The sequence below is a fragment of the Homo sapiens genome, chromosome 1 (assembly GCF_000001405.40).
Source record: "Homo sapiens chromosome 1, GRCh38.p14 Primary Assembly".
Lineage (NCBI taxonomy): Eukaryota > Metazoa > Chordata > Mammalia > Primates > Hominidae > Homo > Homo sapiens.
The window spans coordinates 38,005,560-38,024,974 of record NC_000001.11 but is presented as its reverse complement, the minus strand read 5'-3'; the positions used below and the strand labels follow the sequence as shown (position 1 = coordinate 38,024,974).

Genomic DNA, 19,415 nt, shown 5'->3' with positions numbered 1-19,415 from the left:
CGTAGGTTCCTTGTTCCAAGAGTTTCTATCTGCAGCTGTTAAGTAAGAGAAAAAAATTCCTCCTTGGATAATTTATGAAGCCACCTGAATAGCCAATAAAAGAAGAATGAGTGAGGGTAAAATCAGTCTATCCACTAGATAAAACACTATGCAATCATTAAAAATAATATTTATTTTAACGTTTACTCTAGCATATATTACTGTAAAAAACTTTTGTGATGTAACAAACTGGGAAAGAGCTAATGATTTAATTAAAAAGTAGGACATCGGCCGGGCGCGGTGGCTCACGCCTGTAATCCCAGCACTTTGGGAGGCCGAGGCGGGTGGATCATGAGGTCAGGAGATCGAGACCATCCTGGCTAACAAGGTGAAACCCCGTCTCTACTAAAAAAATACAAAAAAAAATTAGCCAGGCGCGGTGGCGGGCGCCTGTAGTCCCAGCTACTCGGGAGGCTGAGGCAGGAGAATGGCGTGAACCCGGGAAGCGGAGCTTGCAGTGAGCCGAGATTGCGCCACTGCAGTCCGCAGTCCGGCCTGGGCGACAGAGCGAGACTCCGTCTCAAAAAAAAAAAAAAAAAAAGTAGGACATCAAATTGTTTACTGTAACTATAAAACACAAAAACATGGACAAAAAGTGATGCCTCGTTTTACAAAATGGAGGAAATCAACTAGACTACTCACAGTAATTGTCCACCTCCACAGCTCTAGCTCCTAGCACAGTTAAGCATGCAATAAATATTTGTTATTATTGAATAAGCACTGGGATTAGGAATGAATTAATCTACTTTCCAAATCTGCTGTAATGAGATCCTATGTTTCATAACAAAAAAAATTATGGGCTGGGCATAGTGGCTCATCCCTGTAATCCCAGCCCTTTGGGAGGCCAAGGTGGGAGGATCGCTTGAGGCCACGAGTTCAAAACCAGCCTGGCCAACATGGCAAAACCTGGTCTCTACAGAAAATTTAAACATTACTCAGACATGGTGGCACATGTCTGTGGTCCCAGCTACTCAAGAGGCTGATGCAGGAAGATCACTTGAGCCCAGGAGTTCAAAGTTGCAGTGAGCCATAATCACACACTGCACTTCCAGCCTGGCAACAAAGACCCTATCTCAAAGAAAAAAAAAATTAAGTATATAAAAATAAGACTAATTTCACAATCCAAAAACAATTACAGAAGGGAGGGAGATTTAATGTTGTCCATAGAAAGACATTAAATGTCAGACTGACAATTTAGTTATGGTTACAAACCGGAAAACCATGCCATTTGGAGTAATGGAATTTGAAGTTACTAGAAAACGACAACAGATTTTTGATACAGAATGACAAGGCTTATCTATAACACGTCAACGTTTTCGACGACTCTGAAATTTATAAATAGCTGGGGAGTTCACCGTTTCTTTCTTCACCTTCACTTTCTGAGTTTTATCCTACAAAAGAGTAAAAAGGTGATCAGTAAAGAGAAGGAAATGGTTTTGTAAAATCGAAAGGTTAATAAACTACCTATTAGCACCTGCTTCAGCCCTTCTCAAAGTTGAGAACGGACACAGCCCTACTGCCCAAGGCATCCACTGTAGGCAATGAATTAACTTCTCCCCTAGGCATCTAGAAAGTACTAGCTGTGTACAGTCCTAGGAAAACTGAGAAGAAAGGTGTTCAAGTAGTTGTTTCATTTAAAATTATAATTTTAATTCTCTCACGGAACCCCAGTTGAGAAAGGCTGACCTAAATGATCTACAAAGCTAAAGAATTTGACATTTAGAGGAATGATAAGAATATGAAAGAGGCATCTTATATTCCTCAGCTCTGCTATTTAACTACACAATGTTGTCTATTTTTAAACACCAATGAGTGACATGCACTGTTTTGTTAACCTGTTTAAATGTTACGGGAGCTGCTCATAAGCTATAAAGTTCATATGCTACCCGATCCTACCCTTTGCTGTTCCAAAGCACTGACTAATAACCCCCTTATTACCTCCTTAATCAAGGCGCATTTCAACACTGTCAGAGTAACAGACACTGGCTCAAACCACTGCCCCTGAGGAGCAGACATTTTCACTGGGGTTGATTTACACACAGCTGAAATCTAGTCTGAGTTAAGACCTTTACAAGAAAGAAAAGGGGGAAAAAAAAAAAAAGAGGCCTAAGGCTCTCTCTCCTCACCATAAGATCTTTGCGTGTTTGAATTTTCTGAGCAATAACGAACAATTTCTTCTCTCGTTCAATCCGCTGTGTCAGGCAGTTATACTGCTTTTGCCTTTCTTTAGCTATTCGCTGGAGAAGAAACACACACATTCTCAGTGAACAATGAACAGGACAAAAATGAGTAAGAAACTGTTTCTTAATCCATTTAAGCCAACTGCATAGTTTCATCAACTCCCTTCTTTCACCAGAATCAACATAACGTGGTAACAATAACGTTGCCCATTTTAGGAACATCACATTCTGGAGCTGAAAGGAACCCTGGGCCAGACGCAGTGGCTCACGCCAGTAATCCCAGCACTTTGGGAGGCTGAGGAGGGAGGGTCACTTGAGCCCAGGAGTTCCAGACCAACGTAGGCAACATAATGAGACTCTGTCTCAAAAAAAAAAAATTAAAAATTAAAAAAGGAACCCTGTAGACTATCTTATCGAAACCCGTCATTTACAAACGCAGAAAAATGAGGCCCAGAGAAGAAGTGGTCCAAGGACACACAGCTCACCTGGAGCAGAGTCAGGACCGTCCCCCTCTCACAAATCCCAGGAATCTTTCCACTACTACACTAAGCTGCTTCAACCTTTGTGTGAGTGCCACAGTCACCTGAGATGATGGCAGGAATGAATCAGTGTTGGAAACCCTATACAAAGTGAATGGAGAGCAACAGAAGAGTCGGCAACAGAAGGGTCCCCAGGCAGTGTGCTGGTGCCTGAAAATCTTACCACTCAGAAAGCAGAAGAATTTTTTCAGCAGAAGCTCACCTGAGAATTCTCACTGCTAATGACTCCTCAAAGATCAGTGGGGTCCTTACATTTTGGGGAATCATCAACCTCAGAGAAACTGATGAAAGCTTTGGGATCTTTCTTCTTTTTTTTTTTTTTCTGAGGCGGAGTCTTGCTCTGTCGCCCAGGCTGGAGTGCAGTGGCACTATCTCGGCTCGCTACAACCTCCGCCTCCTGGGTTCAAGCAATTCTGCTGCCTCAGCCTCCCTAGTAGCTGGGATTACAGGTGCCCGCCACCACGCCTGGCTAATTTTTGTATTTTTAGTAGAGACAGGGTTTCACTACATTGGCCAGGCTAGTCTCGAACTCCTGACCTCAAGTGATCCACCTGCCTTGGCCTCCCAAATTGCTGGGACTACAGGCATGAGCCACCACGCCCAGCATGGGATGTTTCTTGAGATAAATGTACATACACATTTGTAAAAGGTTGTGCAAGCACATATACCTATCTGCACAAAATACCAGTGAGAAAGGGGGGTTTTCTCAGACCTCCTAAAGCTCACTCATGGGTTGTCTACCCACTCGAAGTTACAGACAAAATATCCTTGCAATCCACCCACCAGCAGTCTCTTAATAAAAATGATTTTGCAGTAAACAAAATAGAAAGAAACATAATTACTAGACAAAAATGGCAAAAATCTAAACCTCCCTAACTTCTCAAAAGCTATGCTGGTGAACTATTCTACATGGGAATTTGGAATACTAATCTCTTTAGGGACTACCACAATTCTTGAGAAGCGTCAGTGACACGGCTAATTGAAAGTACACCTAATTGCCGGGCGCGGTAGCTCACGCCTGTAATCCCTGCACTTTGGGAGGCTGAGGTGGGTGGATCACAAGGTCAGGAGTTCAAGACCAGCCTAGCCAAAATGGTGAAACCCTGTCTCTACTAAATATACAAAAAATTAGCCAGGCGTGGTGGCGGGCACCTGTAATCCCAGCTACTCGGGAGGCTGAGGCAAGAGAATTGCTTGAACCCAGGAGGCAGAGGTTGCAGTGAGCCGATATCACGCCACCGCACTCCAGCCTGGGTGACAGAGTGAGACTCCGTCTCAAAAAAAAAAAAAAGTACACCTAATTGACAAACAACAGGGTTATCACAAGAACACTCATGAGCAAGCTCTTTGGCTGGAAGTGTTATCTACAGAAGGAAATATTACTGGGCCTTAGACTTCAACAATTCACAGATTCTAGCACAGTCTCACAGCAGTGGTTTCAGACAGCTTTTGTTTTCGCTTTATTGCACAGACTGTCAGATTTATGGGATTACCCAATATAGTCAAACTAATTAGGGGTATTTATATTACTAAAGCAAGTTTAGCTGCCTCTGAGCTAGAGAAAACTGCTGTGAAATTAAACATTGGAAGCAAAACTGATGCAGTGTAAATGATTCAAATCAAAACAGAACAGCTGTCTGCTTGAAACACATTGACAGCATTTTTTTTTAATGAATCAGTCAGAAGAGTTCAACTCCAGAAGGCTTTCAGGAAAAGCATGTCTTCTGCACAACCCAGTTACAGTGACGGAAAGCACCATAAGGAAAAGCCAAAACAAAATTTTTGTTACAATACACAATATGAAAGACCTTTTGGGCAGGCATGGTGGCTCACGCCTGTAATCCCAACACTTCAGGAGGCCAAGGCGGGAGTAAACACTTGAGCTCAGGAGTTTAAGACCAGCCTGGGCAACTTAGCGAGACCCCGTTTCTACAAAAAAAATTTAAAATTAGCTAGGCATGGTGGCACACACCTGTGGTCCCAGCTACCCAGGAGGCTGAGGCAGGAGGATCGCTTAAGCCCAGAAGGTGGAGACTGCAGTGAGCCATAATCACACCATTGCACTCCAGCCTGGGTGACAGTGAGACCCTGTCTCAAGAAAAATAAAAACACAGAAAGACCTTTTGATGTGCGTATTCACTGCTAAAGGTTCAATATTAAAGTATTGCAAATCCTTTAATCTTCAGCAATCCCTTTCTCTGCATTTTCAAAACACTGGCATCTGTTACAAGTATTAAAAGCACAAAGCGCAGGGTCAGAATTGGGATTCAAACCCAGGTCTAAAGGCCAGAACCTAAGCTTCTGACCACTATACCTCCTCCGATCATAGAAATTAGGAAGCCCTTCTCCACTTCCATCCCATCATCAAATCATCCTACAAATCCACTTTTCTAAGGGAACTCATGAGTTTTCCATAAATAAATAATTATTTTAGGCCAGGCACAGTGGCTCACGCTTGTAATCCCGACACTTTGGGAGGCCAAGGCAGGCAGATCAACTGAGGTCAGGAGTTCAAGACCAGCCTGGCCAACATGGCGAAACCCCATCTCTATGAAAAATACAGAAATAAGCTGGGTGTGGTGTTGCACCCCTATAGTCCCAGTTACTGGGGAGGCTGAGGCATGAGAATTGCTTGAACCCAGGAGGCGGAGGTTGCAGTGAGCCGAGATCGTGCCACTGCACTCCAGCCTGGGAGACAGTGAGACTCTGACTAAAAAATAAAATAAAATAAATTTTAAAAATTATTTTAAATGCAGTAGCAAAAAAAAAAAAACAAAAAAAAAACACCTAGATTCCCCTAAGCTCACATGTGAAGAACAACAGAGAAAATTACCTTAAGTCCAGTCTGATTGGTAACTCCTTTCACTTTTTCTTTCTGCAAGGTCTCTATCCTGGGCCTATTAAAGACTCTGTCGACTAGCTCCGGGGCTGTTTGCAGGTGAGTTGCGACATCAAACTGTTCAACTAAAATTCAAGACAATCCTTAAGGCACTGTCGGTTTCTAACACCAAATGACACAGACTGGCATGGTAGACTGTCCCAGAAACCTTCAAACATTTCATACCTTCCTTTTTGGTGTCAAAAAAGAACACATGCTTGTTCTGTTGCTTCCCCTGGAAATCCAGCAGATGGAGCTCTGATTTTAGTCTTTCGATTTTCTAGAACACAGAATATGGTCTCACTTTATATTAGATTCTTCTAGGGTACCAAAAAAAAAAAAAAACTGCAAAAGTTTAAACCATTTCACATCATTATTGCCAGCCAGCAAAGAACTTGCTTTATTCTTTTAAAGGAAAGGATCCCAACAAATATCAGGTATTGGGCTAGGCACTTCCCAAGACGCACTTAATCCCTGCAACAGTCGCCTGAGACAGAAATGAGGGAAGAGCCTCAGGGAGTTGAATTTGCCCATTGTCATGGGGCTAGTAATTTATGGCAGTGCCAGAACTCAAACCCTAGGTCTGTCTCATTCCCAAACCTGAACTCTTTCCACTCTACCATGCTAACTATACTTCTAAATCATTATTACAATCAAGTGAGATTGTAAATGCCAGAAGAAATTAATGAATAACTTGAGATTGATGAATTTAAGTTTCCCTTCTTAACCAATAAAACCAATCAGAACAAAGAGTGAATTACCTTAGCTTCTGCAACCCTCTTCATTTCTATATATTTGACGTCCTGAGTTCTCATCAGCTTTAGTTGTTCTGGGGTTACTTCTTCCTTAGTCTCCTTAATAATATGTACTCCATCCTAAAATCCAAATTTAAAAGATATATTCCCTATTAGATTAAAATCATTAATAAGTTGTTGGCACAGTGCACGGCTAGAACAAAGACAACCATAGGCCAAGTGCGGTCACTCACACCTGTAATCCCAGCACTTTGGGAGACCGAGATGGGCAGATCACTTGAGGTCAGGAGTTCAAGACCAGCCTGACCAACATGGTGAAACCCCGTCTCTACTAAAAATACAAAAACTTAGCCGGGCACAGTAGTGTGTGCCTGTAGTTCAGCTACTCGAGAGGCTGAGGCACGAGAATCACTTGAACCCGGGAGGCAGAGGTTGCAGGGAGCCGAGGTCGCACCACTGCACTCCAGCCTGGGCAACAGAGAGTGAGTCCATCTCAAAAAAAAAAACAAAAAGACAACCAAATGCTGTATGCTAACAGCAATCCTAGACACAGGCCCCTGAGGCGTACGTTCAATGTAGCACCTCCAGTCATCTGTCCTAGAACAGCTCCAGGTATAAGACAACCCAGATTCAAAGGTAAAAATGCACGCTCCTCTGGAAGTGGAGGGTTTGCCTTGGACACTGACCAAGAGCACCTGGAGTAACCAGAGAAGGGTTAAATTAAGGCCAACGATTCTTCCTCTCCATCTCCTCCCTGTCCTTATTTTCCAATGTGTGGAGCTCAAAACACCAACCAAGCCATTGGGCACCCACCTGGAGTTTAACCCGAGTCATTTTGTAGTAGAATTCATCTGGATTTTTTTCAAGAGCCTTCTTCCGAAGAGCTTTGAGGTATTCTTGTTTTTTACGGTAGTCACTAAAAGACAGGTTAAATGAGGTTCATAGCAAAAAAAAAAAAATAGATAATTTTAAAAAACCAAAAACCCACAATAAGCAAACTTTACAAGCATCTAAAAGGTCACACAGAGTGAAACTCAAAAAAGCCAAAAGCACTGACTGGATCTGGACACTCCACTGTCACTGAGCTGAGCTCATGTCTTCGCAGGGTCCACAGTCTAATCAACAGTTCCTATTCCAGTGGAACCTGAAATTAACTGTCCCCAGCCTATATATGTTTCAGTGCCATTTATATCATTACAGGGAGACACCAAACAAAGTACAAATTAAAACTCCTTAGGATATGGTGCAAGCTTGGGCACCAAATGACCATATGTAATTCAGAAACTACACAGTACAGTATAGCGCAATGACTAGAATCATGGACTCTGGAGCCAGACAGCATGGGTTCAAATCTGGACTTGACAACTTCTGGCTAAGTAACCTTGGATAAGTTATTTAACCATCCTGAATCCCAATTTCATTTGTAAAATGAATACGGTAATAGTAACCCATCCCAGAAGGTTGTTGGGAGGGACAAATCAGTGTAAAAACGGTAAATATCCTAGAACACTGCCTGGCCCAATAACAATACTTAATTATCATTAGCCTTAAAATCTCTGGGACCTACAGAAACCCATTTAATCCATCACCACCATCTAGACCAGGGGCATAAAAAGGACCTCAGCTGACATGTATCGCTAACAAATAATTAAGAAGTATTTTGCAAACAAAGTGCTAACAGAGAACAAGAATGGGGATAATTGTTTTATAAAATGTTTTCAGAGTTCATTATCACCCACGCTTGGTCTCATGAATCCATCTTTCACATCTCTTCATTCCACATCACACACATGGTGATGTAAGAGACTCAACAAATGGAATTTCAGATTATATCCTGCACTTCAAGAAAACAAAGAGAAAAAGATTCAACTTTGGGCTCAAACACCAAGGCAGAGCCAAATCAAAGCCACTATGAGAAAATGATCTGGAACAACATAATACAAATAATTCACAATGCAACTACAGTTAAATAAATAATGATCTGCCTAAACAAAGAGAGAAATTTAGGATCACAGAAAAAATTATCTGACAGGCTGCCAGAGCTTTGGCCATTTTATCAATGGCAGGAAATTATCCCCTGTTGGACACTCAGGCAATTCAGCTGCAGTGCAAGGAGGTTGTAAGCTTTCTTGGCAGCGCCTCTACCAGAAAGACTGAACTCACTCTGCACGAAGTTTGTAATCTTTCTTTTTCTCCAGCAGGCCCAGATGTTTTCGAAAGCCAGGCTAGAAGACAAAAGAAAGAACAACAGTGCTTAGTTTCCTCCGCAAACACATATCCAAATCAACACGACATCTAACAGGCACAGGAGTCTCTGGAGTGCTCAGTAAATCCAGTCCTTGGAGCTAACCCATGACCCTGTTCCCTCCCCTCCCCACAACTGGGCTCTGCCCAAGGATGAGAGGGACCCTGCCAGCACCAGACAGGTCACAAGCACTGCTGTAGTAGGTTTCTTGGCCTATTAAGGACAGAGAGAGGCAACAATGACTCGGCACTAAGCAAGCAGTTGCCAGTTGTACTAAAATTACTACCAACTTAATCCAAGGGTTTATAAAATACTACAAAGGGAAAACATAGTAACAGGGAGGCAACTGTGGTAAGGGAGCTAAATTTAGAGTCTGGAGATGTGGGTTCAAATCCAAGCTTTACCTCTGAACAATCTGTGACCTTGGGCATGTCACTTAACTTCTCTGAGCTGCTATTTCCTGACTGTAACATGAAAATAGTACCTGCTTCTCCGGGTTATACTGAGGATTCAAGGAGCTTCTATTAATGGTAATGCCTGCACATGGCTTGACACATAGCAGCTTTCCAGCATGAGTTTACTATTATTATTATACTTGTGGTACTCAGTATGAGAAAAAAGTATGACAGAAAGTACTTTCTCTGACGTAGACTTGGAGAGCATGGAAGGTATAAGGATTAAATCTTGGTATGATCCTTCTACATACTACCATTTGTTGAGCACTTAGTATATGTCAGGGTCTTGCAATGTGCTATGCTCCTTACACAATTTCATTTAATCCCCACCACAATCTTGGAAAGAAGGTGAAACAGGCACTATTGTTACCCCAGTTTTCCATAAAGGGAATGAGGTTTAGAGAATGATATGCCCAAGAACACAGAACTAATAAGTAGCAGAGCCAAAACTAGAACCCATTCTCCCTAGGGCCATCACAGTAGACTGAGTCCTCTTCTGTTGCGAATAATCTTAACATTTTGGGAAATGCATACACTTCTCCAGTGTTTAAACTTGTATAATAGGCCGGGTGCAGTGGCTCATGCTGTAATCCCAGCACTTTGGGAGGCCACGGTGGGTGGGGCATCTGAGGTCAGGAGTTCAAGACAAGCCTGGCCAACCTGGTGAAACTCCACCTCTACAAAAATACAAAAATTAGCCGGGCATGATGGCAGGTGCCTGTAATCCCAGCTACTCAAGAGGCTGAGCTGGGAGAATTGCTTGAACACGGGAGGCGGAGGTTGCAGTGGGCCAAGATCACACCATCGCACTCCAGCCTGGGCAACAGGGCGAGACTCCGCCTCAAAAAAACAAACAAAAAAAAACTTGTATAATAATTTGGGTAGGATTTTTAACAGTCATCTTTCTCATCTTTTATCCTTCAAGTGATGCAATAAATAACTATTTAAGGCCAGGCTCACACTTGCAATCCTAGCACTTTGGTAAGCTGAGGTGGGCAGATCACTTGAGCCCAGGAGTTCGAGACCAGCCTGGGCAACACAGTGAGACCTCATCTCTACAAATTAAAAAAATAAAATAAAATTAGCTGGGTGTCACAGTACACGCCTGTGGTCCCAGCTACTCAGGAAGCTGAGGCAAAAGAATGGCTTGAGTGAGGGGGTCGAGCCTGAAGTGAGCCGTGATTGCCCCACTCACTCCAGCCTTGGCAACAGAGGGAGACACTATCTCAAAAACATAAGTAAAATAATACCAAACCTCCCCTAATAATTTTAACTTTAATTACAGCAAAGGGAGGTTAACAGAGTAGAGAAAGCAAGCTAAAGGGTCAAAAAAGCAACAACATGAGGTGAGGCAGAAATCTTGAAATCTCTCATGTCCACCTGAATGTACAATCGCATTACAAAAGGAAACCTGGTATTGTATCTGAAATAGTTTACGTAATAACACATACACCCTCCATACAAAATATCTTCAGTAGCTCCCCTGCTGCCCTACTGAAGGATCTGCAGGATAAAGTCCAAACTACCCAAATATGGAACGTTTGTGTCAACGGTTTACCCACCTTTTCAGGATGGTCTTCTTCTCACCTCTTCTACACAGGCCATCTGTTCCTACTCAGCCATGGCCATGCCATGTCCACAGCCAGCTCTGAAAGCCCTCTGTCTTCTCTGCTAATCCAATTCCACTACTTACAACTGTGACTTTGGATATACTATTCAATCTCTTTAAGCACCAGATTCCTCATTTGTAAAATGAGGAATGAGGGTAACATCCACTTCAGAGGGATGTTGTAGGATTACATGAGACAATTGTAAAAACATGCAGGGCTGTGCCTAGCATATAGTAAGTGCTCAAAAGGTGATAGTTTTGGCCGGGTGCAGGGGCTCACGCCTGTAATCCCAGCACTTTGGGAGGCCAAGGCGGGTGGATCACCAGAGGTCAGGAGTTCGAGACCAGCCTGGCCAATCTGACAAAACCCCGTCTCTACTAAAAATACAAAAATTAGCAGGGCATGGTAGTGTGCACCTGCAGTCCCAGCTACTCGAGAGGCTGAGGCAGGAGAACCGCTTGAACCTGGGAGGCGGAGGTTGTAGTGAGGCGAGATCGTGCCACTGCACTCCAACCTGGGCAACAGAGTGAGACTCCATCTCAAAAAAAAAAAGTTTGATATATGCTATTAAGCAGGAAGACTGAACTGTAGTTAAGAGGCCTTAGTTCTATCCCATCAGTCAGCTGCACAACTCTTTCCCCTGTCTTCCTCATCTGTAAAACTAAGTTGGAGCACATATGTATGTCTAAGGGCCTTTCTGAATCAGATATTAAGCACGGGATTCCTGACAGTGTATCAACTGATTCTGCATATAAGCTTATTTCTACTCAACCTCCCTACACAGACACACCCACCATAGAAATCCTAGAACTGTTTACTCTGCCTGAATCTGGTGTTTGTAACTGGACAAGTCACCACTCTGGACCTCAGTTTCCTCATCTGTATAATGGGAATGGAAAAGGCCAACATTAAGGGGTAAGGCTTAAACAAAAAGCACATATGGCAGATCTTCATGAACCACAAGCCCAGCGTGATGATGATACCACATTAGTAACCACAGTCTCTTCGGTCAGGGCCCCCATATGCAGCAGGCGGAGCTGCCCATTAGACGTGGGATCCAATTTCAGCCCAGCAGTTGTTGCCTACATGAGCTCTGACCTCAACTCCTCAGAAGAGACCAGGCACTTGACAGACATCTTACTCAATCACCACACTGAAATCTTCCAGAGCAGGTTTTATATCCCCAAGGAAAGGGGGGCACCCCTGCTTTTCCTAGAACGGAAACGACAAATCCCCTCCACTCGTTCCCACGAAGCTCCGCCCCAGCCACGCCAGCGTCATTAACATACATTTACGTGCATTTATATACTATACAGTTTGGACCCGGATCCCACGGTGGCGACAGGGTTGGGGCAAGGGTAACACATGGCGACAAAGGCCAGCACTTGTGGGGCCTGTATGGTCCTACCTGGCTTCGCTCTCTGTGTTCCCGCTGCCGGGACTTAGCCGCCTTCCGAAAAGCCGCCGCCATGTCTGTACAGCCTTGGAAAAGATCAGTGGAGAACGCCGGATCCGCACTGCCTCTGCCGCCAAGTCCACTGATTCCTACCGGAAATAGGCCTAGCCGCCGGCGGTTTAGAACCGCCTACTTCCTCTAAGCAACCTATCCGGAGCCGGCTTTCAGGAAGTACGTCATTTAACAGAGGCAGTCACCGCAGGCTGCTTCTGGGAAGTGTAGTTTCCCAGATATAGTCTCGTGACTCTATAAGAGCCAGTTCTTATTCGCTAGCGCCTGTCCACGCTACCCAGATCTCGCCTTCGCGCTTGGCCCGCGTGGGCACCTGGGAACACGTGGCTGGCACTGGCCTCCGTCTGAGCTGGGCTTAGCGTGTGCGCATGTGCAGTCACTTACAGCTCGGCACGGGTTGCTGTATCTAGAAGGTATGTTTAAAGCTAGAGCAGTACGGATTTAACAGTTTTGGGGCTGGCTGGGCGCGGTGGCTCACGCCTGTAATCCCAGCACTTTGGGAGGCCAAGGCAGGCGGATCACGAGGTCAGGAGCCTGCCCAACATGGTGAAACCCCGTCTCTACTTAAAAAAAATACAAAAATTAGCTGTGCTTGGTGGTGCGCGCCTGTAATCCCAGCTACTCGGGAGGCTGAGGCAGGAGAATCACTTGAACCTGGGAGGCAGAGGTTGCAGTGAGTCGAGATGGCGCCATTGCACTCCAGCCTGGGCAATAGAGTGAGACTCCGTCTCAAAAAAAAAAAAAAAAAAAAAAAAAACACTGTTGGGGCTCAGGACTCACCACTCCAAAATATGACTGTGGGAGGCCAGAATATGCCACCCCAAAATATATATTTCTCTGGCTTGTTTCTTAAAGCTGGTTATGCTGAGAAACTGCAGATACAGGAGTTGCTCTGAAAAGCTGTCCTTCCTTTTGTAGAAATAAATTTATCACCTACAAAGGAAATCTACATTTTTAGTGAGGTATCTGTGTCAAGAAGAGGGCTGACAACTATTACTTCCTGAGAGATTTTATCTCCATAACAGGACATTTCCTCCTCTCACCTTCCCATAATATGTGTTGCCACCAGCCCCCAGAGGCCCCATGCCACTATTCTTTTCTGTAACTTGGGACACTATATAAACTTCATTCATCTGACCTGTCCATTTTTTGCTCCTCTACAACAGTGTACAGGAAAAAATATTCTATAGAGAGACAAGAGACCTTAAAACCATAACTGGCTCTGCCATTCACTTACAGGCTGTGTGACTTTTGGCAGGTTTCTTGACTTTAATGAGCATCATTTTTCTCAAGCATAAAATGAGGATAATAATAACATACACTTCTTGCCTCATATTGCTGTCAAGAGCTCACAGTTGAACTGAGGAGTCATATCTGTAAAGAGCATAGAAGGAAATCACCCAATGACAATAGCTATAAAGTTCTGAGTCCCTCACATCCCTAAGGGAATGGCTGGTTGACGATATGCGAATCAGAGGCAGTACAAGGTAATGACCCATGAGGTGTGTTCTGATGCCACCCCAGTCAAGGTAAAGTTAGATTCACTGAGCCTCCATCTCCCCATCTGTAAAACTGAGGTAATAATAATACTATACCCACAGGACTGTTTTGATGATTAAACGAAATATGTTGGTTTTTTGTTTTTTGTTTTTTTTTTTGAGACAGAGTCTCGCTCTGTTGCCCAGGCTGGAGTGTAGTGGCATCATCTCGGCTCACTGCAAGCTCCGCCTCCCGGATTCACACCATTCTCCTGCCTCAGCCTGCTGACTAGCTGGGAGTACAGGTGCCCACCACCACGCCAGGCTAATTTTTTGTATTTTTAGTAGAGATGGGGTTTCACCGTGTTAGCCAGGATGGTCTCAATCTCCTGACCTCGTGATCCGCCTGCCTCAGCCTCCCAAAGTGCTGGGATTACAGGCGTAAGCCACCGCACCCGGCCAAAACGAACTATGTTTAAAGTGCTTAATGCTGTTTTTATTCCTTAGCAAGTTCACAATAAAATGGAGTTACTATTGTTATTTTTATTATTACTAAACCTGCTTCTAAGTTTAGAGAGAGGATTGGGCACAGTAGAGCATTCCAGAGGTATTTGGTTTCTTTTCCACCACATGAAACAGGATGTATAATTGCACGCATTTCTCATGACAGGGGTCACTCCTCCAGCTCAGGAGCTCCAGGGAAATCGTCCCCTTAGTCCCCAGAAATGCCAGTCCAGTCGACCAGTGGGCCTGAAAGAGCTGAAAGTATGAGTTTGAGCCTTGCCCATTTAGGGCCTCCTGCATTAACAAAATTCCATCTCATTTATCACTTACCATTGGAAGACAAGGCCCTTTATAACCTGCCTCATGCCCACCTTTCCAGCCTCATTTCCATTAAGAAGACCAGCTGTCAGGCAGGGTGACTAGGTAGCAGCCCCAGCCACTCCTGCCTCTTCCCCCTGAAGAAGGCACTGGGTGACCAGCATACCCAAGAGAAGCTAGCTCTGTACATTAGACAGGGGGACCCTGGTGTCAGCCCTGGCTTTATATCTATCACCTATTGGCTTGTGATTTGAGGCTATGATGTCAAACTCTCTGAGCTTGTCTTACTCTGTCAAATGGTGATGATGATAATAATAACTGCCTCTTCTGGTTTTTGTGAGGACAGAAAGAGGTAATGACTACCACGTGGCATGGTGCCCTTCACACAGTCAACATTTAACTACATTAGTTCTTGCTCTGCCCTCCCCACCTCCCATGCTCTGTGAAAGTCACTTACTTATTTCACCCTCTCCACCCACAAATTCAGTGTCCAGCTTGGGGTCACAAGGAAAGTTTCTGGACGGCCAGGCGCAGTGGCTCATGGTTGTAATCATAGCATATTGGGAGGCCAAGGCGGGCAGATCACTTGAGGTCAGGAGTTCAAGACCAGCCTGGCCAACATGATGAAACCCCATCGCCACTAAAAATACAAAAATTAATCGGGTATAGTGGCGTGTGCCTGTAGTCCCAACTACTCAGGAGGCTGAGGCAGGAGAATAGCTTGAACCTGGGAGGCGGAGGTTGCAGTGAGCCGAGATTGCTCCACTGCACTCCAGCCTGGGTGACAAAGCGAGGCTCCATCTTAAAAAAAAGAAAAAGAAAAAAATAGAAGAAAGCATCTGGGCAATTTGGAAGAGGTTATCTACCAAGCCTTGAGGCCTGCAAGAGCTCTAGGCAGCCAGTAGGTAAGAGTGAGCAATATACCCAGAGGAAAAAGGCTGTGTTCTCACTAGGGGGAAGGAGGGCCTATGGTTACAGGCATCAGAGAGTGATTCAGCACTCACAGGAAACCATGAGAGGCCTGTCAGTAGCCACCCAGGGCCTCCTTTTGAAAACCCTTGCAGAGTGAAAAAACAGCAGGGGTGCCCTAAGCATGAGATAAAGAAGAGTGTGTGGGGACCTCTAGGGTGAGTGAGGGACAACAGGATCCTACTCACCCAAGGCCAGTCATCCAGCTCTCAGGCTCTGCTTCCAGCCCCAGTTCAGACACACCTGTTTCCCAGGGAGGGAGGAGGACAGATAGGGAACAGGAACAGGGAGTCCTTGTGGCTGATCCCTGGACTTCCCTGGGGCACGTCCTCCTGGGCCAACGAAAATAGAGTGAGCAGAGAAATGTGAGCCTCCTGGGGAATGGAAATTGAGACAGGGAGACACAGCTTCACTGTGGGCGGCTTGCCCCTAGGCCGCTCTCCCTAGCCCAGGTGGCCCAAGCCAGAGAGCTAACTTTCTCTGGCCCCCAGACTCCAAGTCCAAGTAGCTGAACCTTAACATTTGATCATGAAAGTGGGGACTGTCCCCACATATTGACAATCTATTGTGTGCTCTCATCCAATCCTTACAACAATGCTGTGAGGCAGACTCATTCACTTTTCACAGTGAGAAGACTGAGGTTCACAGAGATTAAATGACTACAGATACTAGAGCCTAATGGTGAAGCTCATTTTTGGCATAGGGTGCTATGACTTCTGACTGTCCAGATTTGATTTTTTATTTTTATTTTTTTCCCCAAGACAGAATCTTGCTGTGTCGCCCAGGCTGGAGTGCAGTGGTGCAATCTTGGCTCACTGTAACCTCCTCCTCCTGGGTTCAAGCGATTCTCCTGCCTCAGCCTCCCAAGTAGCTGGGATTACAGGCATGCACCACTACAACCAGCTAATTTTTGTATTCTTAGTAGAGGCAGAGTTTCACCATGTTGGCCAGGCTGGTCTCAAACTCTTGACTTCGTGATCCGCCTGCCTCAGCCTCCCAAAGTGCTGAGATTACAGGCGTGAGCCACCGCCCCCAGTCGGTTTGATTTTTTTTTTTAATAGAGATCGGGGTCTCATTATGTTGCCAGATCTGGTCTTTTTTTTTTGAGACGGAGTCTCGCTCTGTCACCTAGGCTGGAGTGCAGTGGTACAATCTCGGCTCACTGCAAACTCCACCTTCCGGGTTCACGCCATTCTCCTGCCTCAGCCTCCAGAGTAGCTGGGACTACAGGCACCTGCTACCACGCCTGGCTAATTTTTTTGTATTTTTAGTAGAGACGGGGTTTCACTGCGTTAGCCAGGATGGTCTTGATCTCCTGACCTCGTGATCCGCCCGCCTTGGCCTCCCAAAGTCCTGGGATTATAGGCGTGAGCCATCGCGCCTGGCCCAGATCTGGTCTTAAACTGTTGGGCTCAAGCAATCCTCCTGCCTCAGCCTCCCAAAGTGCTGGGATTACAGGCAAGAGCCACCAAGCCCGGCCAACCATTGGGATTTGTATCCTAGCTTTGCCATTATTACCTGTGTCGCCCTTGCCAGGTTACTTAATCTCTCTGTGCCTCCATTTTCTCATCTTTAAAATGAGGATGAAAATATATATTTAGGCCAGGAATAGTGGCTCATGCCTGTAATCCCAGCACTTTGTGGGGCTGAGGCAAGAGGATTGCTTGAGCCCAGAAGTTCAAGACCAGCCTGGGCAACTTAATAAGACCCCTGCCTTTACAAAAAATTAAAATTAAAATAAATTAGCTCAGTGTGGTGGCCCACACCTGTAGTCCCAGTTACTTGGGAGACTGAGGTAAGAGGATCGCTTGAGCCCAGGAGGTTAAGGTTACAGTGAGCCGTGATTACACCACTGCACTCCAGCCTGGGTGACAGAGCAACACACTGTCTCAAAAACAAACAAATATAGATGCACATATATTTAATAAAGTTATTGAATAATCAGGTATGTCAATATATGTAAAGTGTTCAGGACTGGTGCAAAGAAAGAACTCAGGAAGTACTGGCTCTCATTAAGGCTATTTAGGAGAGATTAGAGCCATGCATCAAGAACAGAGATTCCAATACTCTGCCTTTTATCAGGCCCCTTCTGTACTCACTCATAACCCCTTGCTTTCTGAAGGCTCCCCACCTTTGCCCTCCCGTCCCCCAGAGCTGACCTCCTCTTGGTACCCACTCCACCAAGGCTGAGTAGTCTTCACTGCACTCCCCTGGGCTGGGAGTCTCTTACACCTGCAAGATACATCCCAGAGAGGCTGGGCATGGTCACTCATGCCTGTGGTCCCAGCACTTTGGGAGGCTGGGGCAGGCAGATCAGATCTTGAGGTCAGGAGTTTGAGACCAGCCTGGCCAAGATGGTGAAACCCCGTCTCTACTAAAAATACAAAAAAAAAATTTAGCCGGGCGTGGTGGTGCACACCTGCAGTCCCAGCTACTTGGGAGGCTGAGGCAGAAGAATCGCTTGAACCTGGGAGGTGGAGGTTGTAGTGAGCGGAGAGTGCGCCACTGCACTCCGGCCTGGGCAACAGAGCAAGCCTCCATCTCAAAAAAAAAAAAAAAAAAAAAAAAAAAAAAAATCCCAGAAAAAGGCCCCATCCATGGGCTGGATGCTCACTGCCTGGACTCCAGATAGCAGGTGCCTGTGATCCAAACCGAGGATGTTAGAGGGGCATACATACTGAAGCAGTGTCTGGTATCCATTCATTCATCAGATGTTTATTATGTGCCGGATATTGGAGTAAGTACTGAGAAGGCAGTGGGGAACAAAACGGAGCCCTGCCTTCATGGCTCTTACCATTTAGGCAACAACAGCAATAATAAGCAAGCAATGATTTAATTTTGAAAGGAAACCAGACCTGGTGGGTGACTTGGGACCCAGGAACCCAGGCATGATGCAGAGATGGGACGGAAAGGTTCTCAGGAGCCCCAGCCTGGGAGGGTGTTAGTTCCTCCGTGAGAGCTCTGCTACACCCAGCCTGGGGTGTGGGGAGGCCTCTGTGGGCACCTGAATCTTCACTCTAGATGCTAAGGTTATTCCGGGGTTGATTTGTTGTCTCTTGTTTCCACAAACAGCACAGTAGAGCCTCCTGCCTCCCTCCCTCCCCCACCTCTTCCAGACTGAGGCTATTTATTCCTAGTGACAAGCCTGAGGATCCCAGGGGGGGTGGCCTTAAGGACCTGGAGGGGCCTCGTGTCCCTAGCAGGCGCCAGTCCTCCCTCACGGACACAGGGAGGAAGCCAGAGGCTCAGACACCGCAGAGGTCCCCTCCCCTCTCCTCCACCACCCCTGAGGTGCCCCATCCTCTCACACTCCTCACACCCCACCCTAGAAGCCCAAAGATCATGGGGCCGAGGATTAGGGTCTCCCCCGGGCCTCAAAGGTCAAAACTATTCCTGGGCACTGCGGAAACCCAGGCAAGGCAGGACTTCTCAGTGTCAGGAGGCTGCTGGAAGTGGGGAGGTGGTTACCCCTGTTTTTGCTACTCAAAGTTGTGGAATAAAACCCTTTGGAGGTCAAGGCCCTATGGTGGGGAGGGGTCCTCTCTTCGTCCCATGTTTTCAGAGAACACCTTGGTGCCCGCTGACAGGCTCATGACAGCAGAGTCAAAACGTCCTCCTCCAGGCTGGATTAAGGCCGGGCTGAGTGTCACCCCTGGGGTAAGGTGAAGGGGTGGGGGGATCCGAGGAGGCCAGAGGACTCCCCCAGTGGACCATGGTCTGCGGGGTCTCGTGTCGCCGGCCTGAGATGGAATACAGCAGTCTCCCTCTGGCAGCTGGGGATGGGGGGTGGGAGGGGAGGAGAACAGAGGCTGCGGGGAGGGGACAGGGGCGGGGTCCCGGCCGCTTGAAGGTTGGGAGAGCCAGGTTAGGCCGGGCGGGAGGAGGGGGCCGGGCCGACTGGCGGCCGAAAGGGAGGTGGGGGCGGGGTCTGGCCCCCGCGGCGGGCTGGGGGGCCGGGGGCGGGGTCCGGGCGGGGC

The 19,415-nt window shown here is 46.2% G+C and overlaps 1 protein-coding gene across 2 annotated transcripts, besides 2 other annotated features; it reads right to left on the bottom strand.

Moving 5' to 3' along the window:
• Positions 1-154: 154 nt before the first annotated feature.
• Positions 155-12,241, bottom strand: UTP11 (UTP11 small subunit processome component). Of its 2 annotated transcripts, NM_016037.4 has the most exons (8): positions 12,110-12,241; positions 8,555-8,616; positions 7,205-7,307; positions 6,398-6,511; positions 5,823-5,916; positions 5,592-5,722; positions 2,166-2,276; positions 155-1,430 (listed from the first exon to the last, which is right to left on the bottom strand). In NM_016037.4, the coding sequence occupies exons 1-8, from the start codon at positions 12,170-12,172 to the stop codon at positions 1,347-1,349; spliced, it is 762 nt and encodes a 253-aa protein (NP_057121.2). In that variant the 5' UTR covers positions 12,173-12,241; the 3' UTR covers positions 155-1,346. The 2 variants fall into 2 exon arrangements, with proteins under 2 accessions (NP_057121.2, XP_011539857.1); XM_011541555.3 differs by lacking the exon at positions 8,555-8,616.
• Positions 15,445-15,614: an enhancer, noted in NCBI's record as "active region_782". NCBI's record gives its function as "activates an Ori minimal core promoter by ATAC-STARR-seq in GM12878 lymphoblastoid cells {active_cell/tissue: GM12878}" and the evidence as "EXISTENCE:reporter gene assay evidence [ECO:0000049][PMID:35858748]".
• Positions 19,341-19,400: a silencer, noted in NCBI's record as "silent region_685". NCBI's record gives its function as "represses an Ori minimal core promoter by ATAC-STARR-seq in GM12878 lymphoblastoid cells {active_cell/tissue: GM12878}" and the evidence as "EXISTENCE:reporter gene assay evidence [ECO:0000049][PMID:35858748]".